The 21,828-nt window shown below is 39.8% G+C and overlaps 2 annotated features.

Moving 5' to 3' along the window:
* Window positions 16,064-16,564: an enhancer, noted in NCBI's record as "H3K4me1 hESC enhancer chr2:205318757-205319257 (GRCh37/hg19 assembly coordinates)". NCBI's record gives its function as "activates a minimal SCP1, AML or CMV promoter by ChIP-STARR-seq in naive H9 embryonic stem cells {active_cell/tissue: H9 hESC(naive)}" and the evidence as "EXISTENCE:reporter gene assay evidence [ECO:0000049][PMID:30033119]".
* Window positions 17,470-18,669: an enhancer, noted in NCBI's record as "BRD4-independent group 4 enhancer chr2:205316652-205317851 (GRCh37/hg19 assembly coordinates)". NCBI's record gives its function as "activates an origin of replication core promoter dependent on BRD2, P300/CBP, MED14 and CDK7 cofactors, and independent of BRD4, by STARR-seq in HCT116 cells {active_cell/tissue: HCT116}" and the evidence as "EXISTENCE:reporter gene assay evidence [ECO:0000049][PMID:35650434]".

Raw genomic sequence — 21,828 nt, 5'->3', positions numbered from 1 at the left:
ACAATCTCACTGTATCCTAATCCAAAATATATTAATGTCATCAAAACACACACAATATGTTCAGAGAGACTGTAGTTAAAATGGCATTGTCTCATGGACTGTTTTTTTCCCTTTTCTATCTACTTTTACAATAACCATGGGACCAGTGCATCCCTGAAAGAAGCAAAGTCTCTAACTATTGCATTATCAATTGCAAACGAAGTGCTACGTGGAACCATGTTTTATGATGCAAGGGGGAGAAAGAGTATAATTTCTACTTCTGATGCAAGAGGCAGAAATAGTCAACTTTGACGAACGATCCATGTTTGAAGATGCAATTAGAAAAACCTCTCTCTTACTTGTAAGATGAAAAAGCATGATACAGATGAGACTGAAAGAAATATCTAACTCTTAAGCATCCTGATCTAAGGAATTCAGCTTGATTTTCCCCCCAAGGCACAGCAATATTGGGGAAAAACAGCTCAGAAACTTGGGGTTTTTTTTTAAGGTTTATTTGTTCCAAGAAACTAACTTTCTTTCCATCTCTGACTTTTCACATCATATGAATTCAGAACACAGCCCCTGTTTAAAAATAATATTTCTTCAGAATAGAAAAATAAACTTGCCTGTACGTGGAACATTTCCAAAGAGAGAACATGAACAAACAGGTTTTTAATTTTAGGTGGAAAGTAGACCTTTTGGCCCACATTTAATTGCAGATAAGAAACTCCTGGATCCTGGAATTAACCAGCTACTTCCCAATGGTCGTTTATTTTAAACAAAAATTAAGATCAAGCTATTTATTTACAGAGGAAATAATTAACCATACACAACACACAGCTACATTAAAAGATCTCAGTTTTCCAGAAATCAAGTAGCGAAGGAAGTTTTCGTCATCATCTTACACCCTAGGATCATGCTGTCCTCCAAACAAGTAGCATTAAGCTGTTTCCATGTAAAAATAGAAAACCTGAAGAGCTGTACCTTATGAACTGAGTGGGGAAGTGCTTGTGTGACAGCTTCCAACCTCTGTGAGAGTTTAATCCTTATGAACTGTATCTTTACCCATATGACTTTCTATTCCAAAGAGCAAGAGTCTGACTTCTTCCGTTTTATACTCTGCTGGGTTTTGAAAATTGGAAGCACATTGTTCAATTAAGAACCAATTAATGTGACATTCCAGCATGAAAGAAGTGTTAGGCAAGAGGAACCCGCTGCAAACTAATCAGTTTAAAGTTTCATTGACTCATGATCTGCTGTTTCTTAAAGGCATGAGTGTTTTGCATTTATATCACCTCCAGCTCTTGGAACTTGACTGACTTTATAAACTATGCAGGGTCAAGTTGAGTCAGGATTGCATGGCGACCTTCCCAGAGTAGCCCAATTTCTGCAAAAATGTGCATACCATGGGTGTGTTCTTTCTCTCACATTGGTACTAAGTCGTTGTTTTGCAGCTGATACTCCTATTTACCATGTGACTCAAAGATAAATAGCAACCAAAATCTCAAAGGACCTGCATTGTAGTCTAGTTCTCTCAAACACAGTTTGTGCTCATGAACTTCAGTTTCCTCATCTCTTAAATGGAAGCAACAGGATCTGTTAAATGGAACTAAGTTGCTGTGTCACTCACTGTCTGAAAAGAATAAGCCCTGGTTTTTTGAATAAATGCCAGCCTCAGCAATTAGTCCATCAACTTAAATTCTTCTTGCAGTTTCAATTAGATTAGAACCCTTCCCTGGTTTCCACTCAGGCTGTTGTGCAACATTTTTGCAAGGCTAACAGCTGTCTTATTCTACCCTTGAGAGAGCTCTATTTCAGCTACTCATGCATTCCTAGTTCATAAAGCGCTCCAGGATCCAGTGGGTGAAAGGCACTGTCTAGCATCACAAGATGATATTTGTTAGTAGTAAATAAGCTATGGCAAAGAGGCAGGCAGTGATTACATTCTTGTTAACAAGTCACTCAATAGTCTAGTTGGCATCACTGTACCAAGATTTGGTTGAATATTGCAGAACTTGGAGTGGCATATTTTATAGGGTATATTTTTTAATGCTGAGAGGGAGGGAAGGGGGGAGGGAAACATGACAACAAAACTCCAAAGATAGATGTTCACGACCTGTCAGCATCATCTCCCATTTCAAAATGAATGTGCAAGGAGATGGTCCATGCAGTTGTTTAGCAGGTTTTTATTTTTTAACATCATTTAAGGCAGGTTTCCAAATAATATTCTAAGAGAAATAACCTCCCCAAAATTCTATTCAGACCCAGAGAGTTATATCCTATTTCATTTTCCTTCATCCTCTCCTTTTCCATCTTCATTTTCTGTTCCAGTCATTCTTACCTCCTTCCATCGCGTTCCTTTTCACTCTAAGAGACCTTAGCAAAGCTCCTCAGAATCTCCCTTCAACATTTCTGTTGCTCATTGTCCACTTGCATCCTTGCCCTTCCTTTCCCTTCTCTCTCCTGCTCTGAACCAGGGAGCCGGACCTTGGTGCCTCATGCACCCAGACTTCTTTGACAGCTGGCTTCAGTCAATGAATGGGAGGCAGGAAGAGAGGTATTTATTCCCTGTTCTTTCCCTGCTTTGGCCATGGCTTTACTACTGAACCTGTCCATAGCGCCTCATTCCACGCTACAGCTCTTACTGGGCTCTGGTAACAATATTTCCTCTCCTTGCCCTTCTGCCTAGGGGTAATAATAAATTTCTACTATTTCTAGTCTCTGGCTGCAACCACCTCGCTGATTCCTGACTCCGGTTCACACTTCTGCAATCAGCAATCAGTCCCTTCAGTAAAACCACTTTAGCTGGATTCTGAATCCTACCAGGACTCTGATTCTCTTCTCCTGCCTCCCATCTTTTTCTTTCTTTCTCTCTCTCTCTCTCTCTCTGTTTTATTTATTTATCTTCCTTCCCTCTTCTCTCCTCTCCTCTCCTCTCCTCTCCTCCCCTCCCCTCTCCTCCCCTCCCCTCTCCTCCCCTTCCCTCTCCTCCCCTCCCCTCTCCTCCCCTCCCCTCTCCTCCCCTCCCCTCTCCTTCCTTTCATTTCTTTCTCTCTCCCACACACAAGCACACAGAGAAAAAAAAAACACACAAAACTATATTGAATGTATGTGGAGCTTCCTACCTGATTTGAATTGATTCAGTGCCTGAATTCTCTCAAAGTCTGATATATAAGCCCTTATTTCTGTATTTATTGTTCATATAATGCACATGGAAGAATCAATCACTAAGAAATTTTACTTTATTTAGTGGTTATGCTGATATAAAGGTAGTAACAAAGCAACCATTTAAAATGAGAAAGTTATAATTAGTTTAGTTCAAATACTTTAATGACAGTGAAATATTAGCCAAAATAAAATTTCTATTTATTTGTATAATGAATGTCTTTTATATTTATTTTAACCTAGCCATACTAGTAGCTCTCTTAGGGATTAAGACTAATTTCAGAATACTCCCAAAGGAGTCCTATTAATTTAAAAGGCACTAAGTATTTAGTGAGAGGACTCAACTTTAGGTAGTACAAATTTACTCTCATTATATTATAAAAGATATTAGATTTTTTTTTTTTTTTTTGAGACAGAGTCTCACTCTGTTGCCCAGGCTCCTGCCTCAGCCTCCCAAGTAGTTGGGACTACAGGTGCCCACCACTACACCCAGCTAATTTTTTGTATTTTTAGTAGAGATGGGTTTTCACCATGTTAGCCAGGATGGTCTCGATCTCCTAACCCTGTGATCTGCCCGCCTCGGCCTCCCAAAGTCCTGGGACTACAGGCGTGACCCACTGCGCCCGGCCAATATTAGATATTTTTAAAAAGATAATGAAATATTTGTAGCTTGCATACTTCCTTTCTCATTACAATATTTGTCACGAAGATGAATTAATGTTGTGCCATCTTCCATTCTCATTACAATCTTGGTCTGGAGATGAAATACTGGATGTTTAATGTCTTTATGAATTGTAGCAGAAAACTGTATGATGTTGCCCTTTTTAATATTCTGGTTTCTGACTGGCTGGCATTTCTACTCCTCCTCCCCCTGAAACAGTTCCTACTAATATGGAAGAAAGGTTTAGGATAGGTAGCCAATGAGAGAGCAGAATATTAAAAAGGTCAACAGAGTACAGTCTTTTCTATAAATTCAAAAAATGCACTAAGACATTAAGATTCAAATACTATAACTCATACTTACAAGCAAAACATGTAATCATAATTGTAAAAAAAATCCCTGTTTTAAAACCTTCTCATTACCGTGATAAAAATACAATATAATTATTCAAGATTAAAAAGTCTCTTAAATATTTTATAAGAGATTGTGCATGTTTTTAAGAAGTCACAGTTACTAAAAATGAATATACAGCTCACTTTATTTGCTTTCCTTATGGTAAAACATTGTATTATTTCTTCTTTAATAACACTAATACCAACAGATAACTGTAGAAATGAAAATTTACTTTGAATGAATGCAATGCTATTCATGTTTCAGAATAAAGAATTCCTAATTTAGATTTTGGAAAATGAAAAAAAGATTTCAGATTTAGGATTCATATTCATCATTTTATTGGACATTTTTAAAAATCATACTTTAAGTTCTGAGGTACATGTGCAGAATGTGCAGGTTTGTTACACAGATACACACGTCCCATGGTGGTTTGCTGCACCCATCAACACGTCACCTACATTAGGTATTTCTCCTAATGCTCTCCCTCCCCTAGCCCCACCCCCAACAGGCCCCAGTGTGTGATGTTCCCCTCCCTGTGTCCATGTGTTCGAATTGTTCAACTCCCACTTATGAGTGAGAACATGCTATGTTTGGTTTTCCTGTTCTTGTGTTAGTTTGCTGAGACTGATGGTTTCCAGCTTCATCCATGTCCCTGCAAAGGACATGAACTCATCCTTTTTATGGCTGTATAGTATTCCATGGTGTATATGTACCACATTTTCTTTATCCAGTCTATCATTGATGGGCATTTGGGTTGGTTCCAAGTCTTTGCTATTGTGAACAGTGCCACAATAAACATACATGTGGATGTATTTTTATAGTGGAATGACTTATAATCCTTTGGGTAAATACCCAGTAATGGAATTGCTGGGTCAAATGGTATTTCTAGTTCTAGATCCTTAAGGAATCGCCACACTGTCTTCCACAATGGTTGAACTAATTTACATTCCCACCAACAGTGTAAAAGCATTCCTATTTCTCCACACCCTCTCCAGCATCTATTGTTTCCTGACATTGTAGTGATCGCCATTCTAACTGGCATGAGATGACATCTCATTGTGGTTTTGATTTGCATTTCTCTAATGACCAGTGATGATGAGATTTTTTTAATATGTTTATTGGCTGCATAAATGTCTTCTTTTGAGAAGTGTCTGTTTATATCCTTCACCCACTTTTTGATGGGGTTGTTTTTTTCTTGTAAGTGTATTTAAGTTTTTTGTAGGTTCTGGATATTAGCCCTTTGTCACATGGGTAGATTGCAAAAATTTTCTCCCATTCTGCAGGTTGCCTGTTCACTCTGATGATAGTTTCTTTTGTTGTGCACAAGCTCTTTAGTTTAATTAGATCCCACTTGTCAATTTTGGCTTTTGTTGCAATTGCTTCTGGTGTTTTAGACATGAAGTCTTTGCCCATGCTTGTGACCTGAATGGTATTGCCTAGGTTTTCTTCTGGGGTTTTTATGGTTTTAGGTCTTATGTTTAAGTCTTTAATCCATCTTGAGTTAATTTTTGTATAAGGTGTAAGTAAGGTGTAAGGTTTCCAGTTTCAGTTTTCTGCATATGGCTAGCCAGTTTTCCCAACACCATTTATTAAATAGGGAATCCTTTCCCCATTGCTTGTTTTTATCAGGTTTGTCAAAGATCAGATGGTTGTAGATGTGTGGTGTTACTTCTGAGGCCTCTGTTTTGTTCCACTGGTCTATATATCTGTTTTGGTACCAGTACCATGCTGTTTTGGTTACTGTTGCCTTGTAGTATAGTTTGAAGTCAGGTAGCGTGATGCCTCCAGCTTTGTTCTTTTTGCTTAGGACTGTCTTGGCTATGCAGGCTCTTTTTTGGTTCCATATGAAGTTTAAAGATGTTTTCCTCGGGAGGCTGAGGCAGGAGAATGGCGTGAACCCGGGAGGCGGAGCTTGCAGTGAGCCGAGATTGCACCACTGCACTCCCACCTGGGCCACAGAGCGAGACTCCGTCTCAAAAAAAAAAAAAAAAAAAAAAAAAAAAAAAAAAAGATGTTTTCCAATTCTGTGCAGAAAGTCAATGGTACCTTGATGGGGATAGCATTGACTCTATAAATTACTTGGGCAGTATGGCCGTTTTCATAATATTGATTCTTCCTAACCATGATCATGGAATGTTTTTCCATTTATATGTGTCCTCTTTTACTTCTTTGAGCAGTGGTTTGTAGTTCTCCTTGAAGAGGTCTTTCTCATCCCTTGTAAGTTGTATTCCTAGTTATTTTATTCTCTTTTTAGCAATTGTGAATGGGAGTTCACTCATGATTTGGCTTTCTGTTTGTCTGTTATTGGTGTGTGAAAAGACCAAATCTACATTTGATTGGTGTACCTGAAAGTGACAGGGAGAATGGAACCAAGTTGGAATACACTCTTCCGGATATTATCCAAGAGAACTTCCCCAACCTAGCAAGACAGGCCAACATTCAAATTCAGGAAATACAGAGAACACCACAAAGCTACTCCTTGAGAAGAGCCACCCCAAGACACATAATTGTCAGATTCACCAAGGTTGAAATGAAGAAAAAATGTTAAGGGAAGCCAGAGAGAAAGGTCAGCTTCCCCACAAAGGGAAGCCCATCAGACTAACAGCAGATCTGTCTGCAGAAACCCTACAAGCCAGAAGAGAGTGGCGGCCAATATTCAACATTCTTAAAGAAAAGAATTTTCAACCTAGAATTTCATATCCAGCCAAACTAAGCTTCATAAGCAAAGGAGAAATAAAATCCTTTATAGACAAGCAAATGCTGAGAGATTTTGTCACCATCAGGCCTGCCTTACAAGAGCTCCTGAAGGAAGCACTAAACATGGAAAGGAACAACCGGTACCAGCCACTGCAAAAACATACCAAATTGTAAAGACCATCGACACTATGAAGAAACTGCATCAACTAATGGGCAAAATAACCAGCTAGCATCATAATGACAGGATCAAATTCACACATAACAATATTAACCTTAAATGTAAATGGGCTAAATGCCCCAATTAAAAGACACAGACTGGCAAATTGGATAGAGAGTCACGACCCCTTGGTATGCTGTATTCAGGAGACCCATCTCACATGCAAAGACACACATAGCTCAAAATAAACGGATGGAGGGATATTTACCAATCAAATGGAAGGCAAAAAAAAAAAAAAGCAGGAGTTGCAATCCTAGTCTCTGATAAAGCAGACTTTAAACCAAAAAGATCAAAATAGACAAAGAAGGGCATTGCATAATGATAAAGGAATCAATGCAAAAAGAAGAGCTATCCTACACATATATGCACCCAATACAGGCACACCCAGATTCATAAAGCAAGTTCTTAGAGACCTACAAAGAGACTTAGACTCCCACACAATAATAGTGGGATACTTTAACACCCCACTGTAAATATTAGATCAACAAGACAGAAAGTTAACAAGGATATTCAGGACTTGAACTCATCTCTGGACCAAGTGGACCTAATAGACATCTACAGAACTCTGTACCCCAAATCAATAGAATGTACATTCTTCTCAGCACCTCATTGCACTTATTCTAAAATTGACCACATAATTGGAAGTAAAACACTCCTCAGCAAATGAAAAAGAATGGAAATCATAACAAACAGTCTCTCAGACCACAGTGCAATCATATTAGAACTCAGGATTAAGAAACTCACTCAAAACCACACAACTACATGGAAACTGAACAACCTGCTCCTGAATGATTACTGGATAAATGACAAAATGAAAGCAGAAATAAAGATGTTCTTTGAAACCAATGAGAACAAAGACAGCATACCAGAATCTCTGGGACACATTTAAAGCAGTGTTTACAGGGAAATTTATGGCACTAAATTCCACAAGAGACAGCAGGAAAGATCTAAAATTGACACCCTAACATCACAATTAAAAGAACTAGAGAAGCAAGAGCAAACAAATTCAAAAGCTAGCAGAAGACGAGAAATAACTAAGATCCTAGCAGAACTGAAGGAGACAGAGACACGAAAAACCCTTCAACAAATCAGTGAATCCAGGAGCTGGTTTTGAAAAGATCAACAAAATAGACTGCTAGCCAGACTAATAAAGAAGAAAAGAGAGAAGAATCAAATAGATGCAATAAAAAATGATAAAGGGTGATCAGTGTGATCACTACTGATCCCACAGAAATACAAACTACCATCAGAGAATATTATAAGTACCTCCTACGCAAATAAACTAGAAAATCTAGAAGAAATGGATAAATTCCTGGACACATACACCCTCCCAAGTCTAAACCAGGAAGAAGTCGAATCCCTCAATAGACCAATAACAAGTTCTGAAATTGAGGCAGCAATGAACAGCCTACTAACCCAAAAAAAGTCCAGGACCAGATGGATTCACAGCCAAATTCTACCAGAGGTACAAAGCAGAGCTGGTACCATTTTTTCTGAAACTAATCCAAACAATAGAAAAAGAGGGAATCCTCCCTAACTCATTTTATGAGGCCAGCATCATCCTGATACCAAACCTGACAGAGACACAACAAAAAAAAGAAAATTTCAGGCCAACATCCTTGATGAACATCGATGCAAAAATCTTCAATAAAATATTGGCAAACCGAATCCAGCAGCACATCAAAAAGCTTATCCACCACAATCAAGTCAGCTTGATACCTGGGATGCAAGGCTGGTTCAACATACACAAATCAATAAACGTAATCCATCATATGAACAGAACCAATGACAAAAACCAAATGATTATCTCAATAGATGCAGAAAAGCCCTTCGACAAAATTCAGCAGCCCTTCATGCTAAAAACTCTCAATAAACTAGGTATTGATGGAACATATCTCAAAATAATAAGAGCTATTTATGACAGACCCACAGCCAATATCATACTGAATGGGCAAAAACTGGAAGCATTCTCTTTGAAAACCGGAACAAGACAAGGATGCCCTTTCTCACCACTCCTATTCAGCATAGAATTGGAAGTGCTGGCCAGGGCAATCAGACAAGAGAAAGAAATAAAGGGTATTCGAACAGGAAAACAGGAAGTCAAATTGTCTCTGTTTGGAGATGACATGATTGTACATTTAGAAAACCCCACCATCTCAGCCCCAAATCTCCTTAAGCTGATAAGCAACTTTAGCAAAGTCTCAGGTTACAAAATCAATGTATTTGGCATATTTTAATTGTTCAACAAATGTTATTGAATAAATGTATATGTAGGAAAGGTATGAATCCCTACAAACAAGTATAAAAAAAAAGAAGGGACTAAAAAAATACTACTAAGCTTTATAGTTCACTGGTGTGTTACTCTTCTTACAATACCTGATATATGGGTATTGTAAGACAACTGTATGAAAGAATGAGAGAGAAAGGAATACAAGAAGGAGAAAAGGAGTATTACCCATAGCCTGTGGATTGCAGTAGTACCCATCAGCTAACTTTTTTTTTAAAAAAAAAAAAAACAGAGTCACAGTCTCACTCCATCACTCAGGCTGAAGTGCAGTGGCACGATCTCACCTCACTGCAACCTCCGCCTCCCGGGTTCAAGCAATTCTCATGCCTCAGCCTCCCGAGTAGCTGGAATTACAGGTACATGCTACAACACCTGGCTAACTTTTGTATTTTTAGTAGAGATGGGGTTTCACCATGTTGGCCAGGCTGGTCTCGAACTCCTGACCTCAACTGATCCACCTGCCTCAGCCTCCTAAAGTGCTAGGATTACAGTCATAAGCCACCACGCCCGGCCCTCATCAGCTAATTTTTCATCTGCCCAGCAATTTTTCCTGTTGTTTTCTTGTCCAGCCCCAGTTAAACCATCCAGCCCCACCTTTCCTCACATTATCTTGGTTGACAAATCCAGTTTCTTTCTCTCCGGATACTATTTTGGTTGGAGGTGGGCATTTAACTCAACCACAGCCAAAGCAACACACAGTGGGGGACTAATATGGATGTTAAGTGAGAAAGGGGTTGATCTCTTATCCTGGTTCACTGGCTGTAAGGACAGAACAGCCTTGGAGTTGCTGTGGCCATCTCTGCCACTAACTAGAGAAAACTAGCTGCAGAAGGAAGCCAGCAGAGAAGAAAGCACAGTGAAGAGCTGGAGAGAGGGAGAGAAGGGCATGGTGACATCATGTGAATGCCTGGACTGGGCCTTATTTAAAACTAGTGCCTCTTCTTGAATGTCTCAGATATCAATTAATTAATTCCCTTTTTGCTATGGTAATTTGAACAAAATAACTGTCATCTACAGTTGGAGGAGTCTTAACTATAGAATTATAGCAAAGAGTTCTAAGATCCAGATGGACCCCAAGCATTAATTACTGAATAATAGATACAACCACTTTGAATTAATATGGTTGCTTTTGTTGATAAATTATAAATATATATTAATTCAGAGCAACTTTTTGTCATTATTGAATTAGTGAATATTAAACCTATTAGTGTGTAAACTCTGTAAATATATTCTACACTTGGGGGGAGATTTTTGTGTTTATACAGATTGGAAATCACTATTTAAGATAACTATAATTAATTTTCAATCTAGTACTATAGTTAATCACAACTAGTTCTCAAAAGAGCTATCAAAGTTTCTCTGATCTAAGAACATGGTTGCTAGTCTTACCCTGCCTATGAATCAATTAAACAGCTTTCATTATGTACAATATGCAGAGCACTCTCTACGATCCTAAGGGAAGTCCAAGTTTATAGGCACTCCAGGGGAGTGCCTTCAAGAAGCTGAACATGAAGCTCATATACATGATAATCAAACCAACACCATCATGTCAAAATAACTTTTAAGGGACTAGTGCCAATCACAGTTCCCTAAGAACTTAAAATCCATCTATTTTGCATATGTAAGAATGACAAAATGGTAAAAAGAACATACCCTAGGGAAGAGTACACGAGAGAGAGAGAGAGAGAGAGAGAGAGAGAGAGAGAGAGAGAGAAGCTACCAACTCTATATGAGGGAGGGAAGCCACCCAATTTCTTTATTCTACTGGTAAAATAGTTCAAAGCTCATTCTTAGAAGCCTGACATTTCCTGAACATGCAAGCCTGCTTTGTTGTGACCGAGACTATTCTAGGATGTCCTTCACTGGAAAGTGGTCACCTATAGTGGCCACCTCTCTACGACTCCCCTTTCTTCTACTTCTATTTCAAGGCCCGTCTCCAACTTGTGTATTTTGCTTAATAATATTGTTTACACTGACCTTCTTTGCCCTGCCCTCTGCCTCTGGAGTCTGAACCTTAGAGATGCATCAACTGAGCTTTCTGGTCTCCTGGCTTCAAATAGGGCTCAGCCAGTGGGAGATATCTATGGGAGAGGAGAGGGTGGGAGGGAAGTCAGGGTCAGGGTGTTTACTCCCCTGTCTCCCTCCCTATTGGATCCCTACAGGCTGGCTGCATCCTTCTACCAAAAGCTAAAACTCCTTCCTCTGGCTCCTTTTAGGCCTCAGGGTGGTAGACGGTCCCCACAGTTGGTAGCTTCACCATCTGTTGTTCGTTTCCTTAACTTTGCCCACATTTTTATAAGTCATTTCTTCATTAATCTCCCTATCATTCCTGCCTCTTGAGTGTGCCATATCTTTCTTGCCAGGACCTGACTGATATGCTCCCTTTTTGAATCCTGCCTGCTGGCCCTTCACTGATGGCCAGTTGAAGTGACCACTGCTTCCTTTGTTTTTCCTCTTGTCCTGTGCTTTCTTGAATCATTGCTCTGATCACACTGTGCTGCCCACATTTGTTCCCATGTTCATCTCTTCTGTGGCCTGGAAGCTCCTTGAGAGTAGATATTGCCTATTCCCCAATCCTAGGGTTTGTAGCAAGGTACTCACAGGCTGAATGAATGAATGAATAACTGAGAATACTGCCCTCCATTGAAGTCAGTATACTAGGCATTCGTATTAGAGTGCTTGGAATGTCACCATATTTTGGAGGGTTTTAATACCTGCTTCATCGTGGCCAACTCTAGCCAAGGGTTTGATCATTCAAGCTGATCAGATTTGAAAAGCCAATTATTTCTCTCACCTTGACTCTAGTTAATTAGGTCAAACTTACCAAACTCAAGAGATGTGGATTTCTATATTAAAATAATCCCATATTAATAGTTGATGATAAAAACTATAATTGCCAGCCAGGCGTGGTGGCCCACACCTGCAATCCAAGCACTTTGGGAGGCCGAGGCGGGCGGATCAAGACCATCCTGGCCAACAGAGTGAAACCCTGTCTCTACTAAAAATACAAAAATTAGCTGGGCGTGGTGGCATGCGCCTGTAGTCCCAGCTACTCGGGAGGCTGAGGCAGGAGAATCGCTTGAACCAGGGAGGCGGAGGTTGCAGTGATCTGAGATCGCGCCACTGCCCTCTAGCCTGGTGACAGAGTGAGACTCCGTCTCAAAACAACAACAACAACAACAACCAAAAAAAAAAAAAAATATATATATATATATATATAATTGCCAAGTGGACAGAAGTTAGTGTTCTTTTTCTGATTTTTATTACCAAAAGTTTCAAACATAAAAAACTTTGAAAGAACAAAACATCCTTATACTCACCACTTAGATTTACTATTAATATTTTTTATAGTTGTATCACTTAACCATCTACATTTATATGTATATACGCATATATATGACTTCTTTGCTGAATCTTTTGAAAATAAATTACAAACATCATCAACACTTCACCCCTGCATAGTTCTGCATGCATTTCTTAAAACTAGGCCAATTCTTCTTCCCTGGTATCATGCCTAAGAGTGCTAGCAATAATTCCCTGATAGCATCTAATATGCATTGATAATATGTTTGTCAGGCAGACTTGGGGAGCAGGGGCACCTTTGGCCCACAGAGCTACTCTGGTTTAATCTCAATTTGATCTGGCATGCAGTTTTTTCTAAATGTCAATATCCATCAGCTGCAACTGTTGAGATCAACAAATTTATGCACATACCTGAGAGTTCCTTCTGGGTTTCTCTCTGGAAGCACATTCTCAGAGATGAGGCCAGGACTGCTGCAGACAGCAAGTAGCAGGGGCTCAGCAAGAAAGAGCTTTAGTTTTTTCTCCTTTTGTTTCTTTACCTTGTTTCCTAATCCCAGCCCAGAATATCCTTTTTTCTTTTCCTGGTCCAAAATTTATTCTATATGTTTTTCTTTAAAAAAGGAGATAGAAGCCAAGTGCAGTGGCTCACAGCTATAATCCCAACACTTTGGAAGGTTGAGGTGGAAGGGTTGCTTGAAGCCAGGAGTTCAAAACCAGCTTCGGAAACATAGTGAGATTTCATCTCTACGAGAAAAAAAAACTTCGTTGGGCATGGTAGCAAACACCTCTAGTCCTAGCTGCTCAGGAGTCTGAAGTGGGAGGATCGTTTGAGCCCAGGAGTTTGAGGCTGCAATGAACTATGATAGCATTGCGGCACTCCAGCCTGGGCAACAGAGTGAGATCCTGTCTCTTGGGGAAGAAAAGGGGAGAGAAAAATGTAGATGTAAAAGATGACCCCAATGTGGAACTTGTAAAATAATCTAAGCAACTCCATGACTCTTGCTGGGGAGCATCATGGCCACCTTCTCTTGTTGGCACCTAGGTTCCCACAGGAGTGCTGGGTCATGTGCTTTATTTGTTGTCTCAGGTAAAAAAGCTTTAGGTCCCTCATTTGTAATTTACTGAAAAGGAAGTGAAACTGCTGAACAAACTTAAATGGCTTTGATTGGTGTTTTTTCCTCCCCTATGGATCAGTTGACTAACTATTAAAAATAAAGTTTCTTCATCCTTTTGGTTGAGATTAACTATATGGAAGCAGACCTAAGGTTTAGGTGTGAGGACTACTTGGTGAATGCTGAATTTGCACAAAGGAAAGTGGATGGTCTTCAAAGATCTCCATTATGTTAGGGGAAAGTGGTGTGCCAAGCACACTGTCAGAGGCCATCTCCCTTTCCCTTCTCCCTTTACCGACAAGGGATTGGTGGCAGGTGGGGAAAGCCGAGGTATTTCTCTGCTTCTTGTGGGATCTCCAGCTTTGGGCCATCTCCACCATGACTCCAGTTCCTGCAGGAAATCCATTCCCTCCATCGCCCTAGTTCCCATCAAACACCTCCAGTAACACCACCTTCTCCCAATTTATCTTCAGCCTCCTGTTACTATCATCTCAGAGGTGCCTTACCACCCTGTTTGTCTTCCCAGTTCTCTCACACTGTGTAGCCAATTTCCTTTATTAAATACCCCCTGTAAAGATGTAGAATGGTTTCCATTTCCTTGGCTGGACCTTGACTTCTGGATCTCCCCATAGGTTTGCCATGAGATGAATTAAAACATGAATTAATCCAAGTTCCTATTTCAAGGAGCTCACAATTGAGTGGAGGAAAGAGATCAGTATATAATTTTAATAAATGATGATAAATGGTATGGGGACACAGAAAGTGGGTTCAAAATGCCTTCACAGGTGTTTTCTTGTTTATTGGCTAGCTGTGATGGTGTGGCATAGGGACCTTGGCAATTATAGTTTTTATCATCAACTATTAATATGAGATTGCTATAAGAATGGTCAGGACAAATTCAAAATAAATATGAATTTTCTATGTTATTAAGTGCCCCCTACGTGGAAGGCACTGGGTCTAGGCACAAGGGAAGAAAAAATGAATTAATTTACGTTCCTATTTCAAGGAGCTCACAACTGAGTGGAGGAAAGAGATCAGTACATAATTTTAATAAATGATGATAAATGATATGGGGACACAGAAAGTGGGTTCAAAATGCCTTCAAGGTTGTTTTGTTTATTGGCTAGCTTTGGTGGTATGGCATAGGGAGATGGGCACTCACTAACAGCCATGAGAATTAAGCTCTAGGCTGGCTCTGCCACCACTAACTTTTTGTATGGCCTTGGGCAATTCATTAAGCCTTTCTGGGCTTCCATTTCCTATTTATAAGAGATAATATCTGAGTTTCCTTTTGGATTGCAAATGTTATTACCATGACCTTGTAATCACTCATTGAACAATTCTGAGAGCCCACTATGTGCTGGGCACTTATTTTGAAATTCCTTCCAAATAGTATGACTGAAGCCGGACTTGTCTTTATTTAACCCAGGAGTCCTGCCTCTCCAATCCACTGCATAGCACAGGAAAACATGGACACACATGTGCACACACACACACACACACACACACTTAAATACACTTTATCTCTGCTACCCACCACCTCTATGTCCTGGACATCCCACAGACCTGTTGAAGGGATGCATGGTTAGCAACCTAGAACACCCAGCACGGCACACATCACTGTCTGAGAAGAATGAGAAGGTGGGCCCCGCAGCTATGGGCTCTGCACACCCTGGTGGGATGCATCTAGCTCGAACAAGGACAGGTCTCCCTGGTTGAGTTCTTCAGAGACACCCCCACGATGCATATCATAGCCCTTGTGCGATGGCTCCATTTCAGTGGGCACAAAGCAGCTACTTTATGGGGGAGCTAGCAAAAAAAATCAATCATTTCCATATGTTTTCCAAGTATATTCTCTCAACCAAACATGTCAGACACCTTCCCACTGATATGCTTTTCCAGTTATTACATCATCTGCAAAGTAAATATCTTAATCAGTTAAACTTATTGCAATTGAATATTTAATTCCTGCCACTGTACAATTTAAATAATCTCTTCCAAATAATTTGCTTATGGTCATCAGGCTTACATAAGGCCCTCACAGAATGTGTCTCTGTCAAAGCACAACAACTTCTTTTGCTGATGGCAGGCAGACCATATGTAGAGGGGCATTTCCAGCCCTATCCCAGCATAATATCATAGGTGCTGGAGGTACAGTGGTCAACAGACAAGCAGGCATTTCTTTATGGCAATGTAATGAAAGAGAAGAAAATCTAGAGCGGAGGAAAACACAGTGATTTGATGTATTTTAAGGTGGGCCTTAAAAGAAAGTAAATTTGCCATATTATTCTCAAGAGAGTTATGATTTAAAATGTAGTATTTAAAACAGACTTGCAAATAGAGGGAAAAAAATTCTGCCCCACCTCTGCTGAGTGGTTGACGAAAAGCAGGTTTAAGATCTAGCAGCAAATTGAACTTTAGAAATGATCAGCTGAAGCCCTGTGAAGTCCAGCACCTTTGCTCGTGTCTTCTGTCAGAGAAGGGAATTGTGTGCACTTTATATGGCAAACCAGAGTCTCTTCCTTTTGGTGCAGAGAGTGGGTTTCGCCTCATAGGGAGCTTTTGCTATTCTTTCCTCTGCATTCTCCTAAGGCTTGTGCTCAGAATGGGAGGGCCTCCCCCGGCCTCCCGGTCCCCTTTTCCCACAGCCCTAGATTCTGTGTCCCTTACTTCCTGACAGTGATCAGCCACTAGGTTTCTTGTGTGTCTTTTGTGAAGGCAGGAAACACAGAGGAGGTGCCTTGGAGACGGAGGGCTGCTTTCCCAGTGGCACTGCCTCTGCTCCACCCCTCCTGGCCCCATCTTAGGCACTCTGCCAAGGGCACCGGGGCAGCCGTGTGACTGAACGTGGTCCTCAGACACACAAGAATATCCCTGTTCCCACCCTGGCTACACCAGTATCAGCCTGCTAGAGCCAGTTCTGTTCCCTTAAAACTAGATGTGGAGTCACAAGGGCTCACTGGATGCAGAGATTCTGCAGAATCCACATTTAGACATTTACGACATGCCAGGCACACAAAAAAAGCCAGGATTGCATGCTTCACACTATCTTGTTTAAACTAGTGCTCCCAGCCAAGAGTCTCACAAAAATCGTCAGCTTTTAATTGCTTTGTTTTGCTCTTAGCCATGGTCTCAACTCAAATAATGGAAGTAGGAAGGTATCTGTTAAAAAAATTAGTTTTGCTTGATATAACAGAAACACCCCAGTAATAGTGACTTACACATATAGAAGTTTAACTTTTGCTCACATAAAAAAAAGTTGACATTAACTCAGGCTCTTTGTAGTTCATCTCCCCATTATTTATAGAGTGTGGAATTAAACCAGCTTTCAAGCTTTTTGGTCTCCGGATCCCTTTACCCCCTCAAAAGTCATTAAGGCCTGCAAAGAGCTATTGTTTATGTAAGTTACTATAGTAAAAATTAAAACCGAGAAATTTTTTTACATATTTTCATTTTAAAATACAAATAATAAACCTACTGCATGTTAGCAATAACACGGATTTGTGAAAAATAATTATGTTTTCTAAGACAAAAAAATTAGTGGGAAGAATAACCTTTTTACATTTTTATAAATCCCTATCTGGCTTAATAGAAGACATTTTGAATTTCATATACGCCACTGTATGCAATCTGTTGCAATATATTCATAGTTTTGGTTGAAATTTATGAAGAAAATTCTAGACTTGAAATAGATATATATTTGGAAAAGGGAGGATTCTGTGGGCCTCCTGAGCAAGGCTTTTGTTCTCTGTATCCTCAGCCTATACTTTGAGAATTGCTGTCTTAAATCCCATAGTCTAAAATAGCTGCTGGAGCTCCAGCCATTATATTCATATCCAAGGTATCACGATAGAGGAAAGACTGAAGGAAGAATTGGTACTCTTCGTTTAAAGAGAATTCCTGGAAGGCACACACACAGCATTCCTGCTTACATCTCTGTGGTCAGGGCTTTCACATGGCAACATCAAGCCACAAGGGAAATGTTTTAGTGGGGCAGTGATGTGTTCAGCTAAAACTTTCTTATAAAGAAAGGGAGAACGGCTACTGAGAAGCAATTAGTAGTCTCTGCCACAGGAAGCGCGAGTTAAAAGCATTCCAATGACCATACACTTCATCTGTCGTTTCCATGGCTGCAGATGGTCAAAACACCACAGAGTCCTGAGGAGTTCCCTGGGAAGAAATTATTGTTTACTTTGCCAAATGATTCATCTGTGGTGTTCAAGTGGATTTTAAAGTGTCTACGAGGGGCAGGGTGTGGGATGGGAGTTTAAGGGGCAGGATATGGGGAAAAAGGCAGCAAGATCTGGGCTGATCAGAAGTCCCTCCAAAGAAGTACTGACCAGAACCATGTTGTGAAATGGAAATGAAAAGTCCCAAGAAAAGAAAGGCTCTCCTGGCAAGATGTCACTGCAGCTATACAGACATTCCTCTGTTTCGAGAGACTGACTGACACTCAAAGAATAGCTGTCAAGGACAAAATTTATTGGAAAAAAAGGAAAATGTTTTCTCTCTAACAAGAAGTAAACACCACAGGATTTTCCAGTTAATAAGAAAGTGTTAAGAAACGAACATAACATACTTTCACTCAGCGTTTGCTTTGTGCCGCCAAGATTCTATGCACTTTACATGTATTATTGACTCTTTTGATCCTCACGGCAAACCTAAGGGGAAGATACTATTAGTATCCAATTTTTCTAATAAGAAAATCGAAGCAGAGGGAAGTTAAGTGACCTGTCTGAGATCACCCAGTTGGGAAGGTTGTATTTGGCTCTATAGTCTATATTCTGAAACTACTAAGCTACACTCACTTATATTTTGAAAAGGAGCTTGGAGCCAAGGTTGAAGCCTGAGGAAGTCCATTGGATGAGATAAAACTTTATCACAACATAATTTAGTACTCTTGAAATTTACTGTTAGGCCCTATATTACCTGTAACTGGATATTATAGTTTGTTTGCATGTGCCTTTCAATTTTCCCTGTGTTTAAAAGGAGATATTAGCATTACTAAAAAGTGATATCTCTATATAAGGATTGGTAGTGCATTAAGGAAATCCTCATGTACTTTCTCCTCATTTCTTTCAGTAACCCAAACCTAACGAGGCATACTTCATCACAGCCTGTGGCTTCATATTCACCTTCCATCACTAACCCAGCGGCAGCTACCTAAAACGTGAGCGTGGTGCCTAGCAGGAAGTAATCAGCCTTGTGGGATGTATTTTAATCATCCAAACCTTTCAGCAGAAGGTGCAAATTGGTAGCCTGCGGCTAAAATTTTGCTTATGGACATGCTTTATTTGGTTCATAAAATATAATTTTAGAAAACAGATTTTTTCCTGGCCAAAATTCAAAATCTAGATTTTACCTAAGAATCCAGAGGAGATACTTTGCCTTTTAGATAGGCCATGTTCTCCCTGGTTCAGCTTGGCCCCCAATACTCCAACCTCTTAAAAGTGGCTTTTTCCTGCAAGTATGTTACCTGTCTGTCCCCTGAAGGCATTTGAGTTTGCAGCCTTTTCTTTACAGGTATTAAACTTCAAATCATACTAAACCCTATATTTTATTGTAGCAGAACCTGTTCTGGAATTACTCCACCTGCAATTTCCACTTGAACTAATTATGCTGTCACAGCTTATCCACATGGTGGGTTCTGCAATCAATGGAAACACAGAAGTTATGATTCCAAACTGCATGTGGGTAGATAAATGATGGGCTGAAAATGATGGGATAGGATAGAACCACAAAATAATGGGATAAATATCTGGAGTTTGATAATACAGATCCTGGCACATAGTTCTAGAGTTTAAACAGTTATTGCTGAAGGTTTGATGGTGCACAGGCAGAGGTTTACTAAAGCTGCTAGGACTTCTGTTTTGCCTTGACTATCACCATCATCACTGATAACAGTGACAATCAGTCATTGATGCCATTCACCAAGTATTTCTGGCTATGTGACTTCAGGTATATAAGAGGATTACATTTCCTGCCCCTTGAAGTTTGGGTGGGGGCATGAGACTAGTTCTGTGGAATGAGGTGTGAGCAGAGCTGATATGTGTCCCTTTGGGCCAGATCATGTAACTGGCAGGCTAAGACCTTCCAGAGTAATCTTTCCTCTGACATGGTGACCAGCAGGTTTTGAGATGGTGGCAGCTCTAGTAGCCTAGGTCCCTGAGCCACTACACTGGGCAGATGCTTCTGCAAAACCGTGAGAGACGTCGCATGAACAAGAAACAAAATTGTTATTATAACCCACTAAGATATTTGTTTTCTCTTTTTAGCAGCAGCATAACCTATCCAATCCTGATTAAAACAGTCATCAAATGTTCACTAACAAGTGCATACTAAGTTAAGATTTCTAAAAATCTGAATTCAGTGACTTGGGCTATCACTAATGTTGAAATGAAAATCCTTCTTTGGGCCTTGTGTTTCTGTGATTCACTGATTCTAGGTCCATTTTCTGAAACCTCCGGTCACCCGTGCACTCTCCTCTAGCTGTTTCAGCCTTTATCCTTTGCCACTGAGCTTGTCAATAATAGAGCTTTTCTTCTTGCTTGGGGAAAGACATCCATCAAGCATCAAGAGACAGAGTCACTCTGAAAGCAAATGTGCAGGGTCTTTCCCAGAGCTACATTTTGCAGCAGGATTATACTCTCAGCCCACAGACAATAAAAACCATTTGTATCTCAGCTCTGCGGCAGCTTGGCACAATCTTTCCTATCAGAACTTGTGTGTGTCTGATGGTAACAGAGCTAAGGAAAAGCCCAGGTCTTACTGCTCTTTTTAAAGACCAGGTCCTGATCAATCCAGTCAGCAGTATAATCCATTTCTTACAGGTTTCTTTCTGCGTCTGTGTATTTTAACATTGCATCCGTAATTAAATTTACTTTCTGAACTAGGGATGTATTTTCTTGTTAATGCTATCAACATTTAAAAAATAAATCTCTTTTAAGTTTATTGTTTCAAAATGCAAGAAGTGTCCCTCAGGACCCACCTACTGGGAAGCAGATGATCTCATTTGTCAGTGGAAAATGCCTGTCTGGATGGTAAAAACTTTTCTTGGTCCTTATTTTAGACCTTTTTGGTCTGAAAAATGTAAGTTTGGGATGGTCATTCATGGGTTTAATATATTGCTGGAGAAGTTGGTGTTCTGGTTAGCTCTTTCTTCATGCTGAGCTTTTAAATATGATATTTTAAAGAATTTCAGTAAATCAAGTGTTGTTAAGTAGGCGGGACTGTCAAGTTTTAAGTTTCAAAATCCATTTACTTAATCAGTGAAAAAGTTATTGAACACTTGGCTCAATAAATGACTTCTTCAACAGGAAAGACCATGTCTTATTTACCTTTTACCTCTACCACCTAGCCCAATGCCTATATTGGGGTGCCCAACATGTGTTTTCACAGTTGCTAGTCAAAGTACTATGCTAATGCACCCCGGAAAATACAAGAAAGTCCTCACACTTTATGACCTAATAGTCTGGTGGTTTAGATAAAATAAATGTGCAGTTAACTATACTCTGTGGCAGTGAAGAAAACATTATTTGCTGAGAAGTGTGATGGAAAAGGATGTTCGATGGGTCACACAAATAATGCAGGAATTTAGAGTCCCTGGGTTTTACCGAGTCTCCACTGACTAGCAGTGCAGCTGTGGGAGAATCTCTGGGTTTCTGGGACTCCAACTGTTAAATGAAGGAGTTGACAAAACAATTAGAAACTTTTTGAAATTATAGCACTTGAACACATTTTTATAAATTTCAAACAATGCAGGTAGAGCAAAAGTTCCTGACAGCTTTAGCTGTATTCTGTAAGTTCTGAGTATGTTTGTTTTCATTTTTATTTATCTCAAAGTATTTTCTAACTTCCCTTGTGATCATTTTTTCTTTGACTCACTGGTCATTGGGAGTATGTTATTTAATTTCCATATATTTCTGAATTTGCCAAATTTTCTTTTTTATTTATTTTTTGAGGCAGGGTCTCACTCTGACTCTCAGGCTGGGGGGGGGCAGTGGTGTGATCACAT

The sequence above is a fragment of the Homo sapiens genome, chromosome 2, assembly GCF_000001405.40.
Source record: "Homo sapiens chromosome 2, GRCh38.p14 Primary Assembly".
Taxonomy (NCBI): Eukaryota; Metazoa; Chordata; class Mammalia; order Primates; family Hominidae; genus Homo; species Homo sapiens.
The sequence above is the reverse complement of the archived record's forward strand: the minus strand, read 5'-3'. Positions and strand labels throughout refer to the sequence as shown.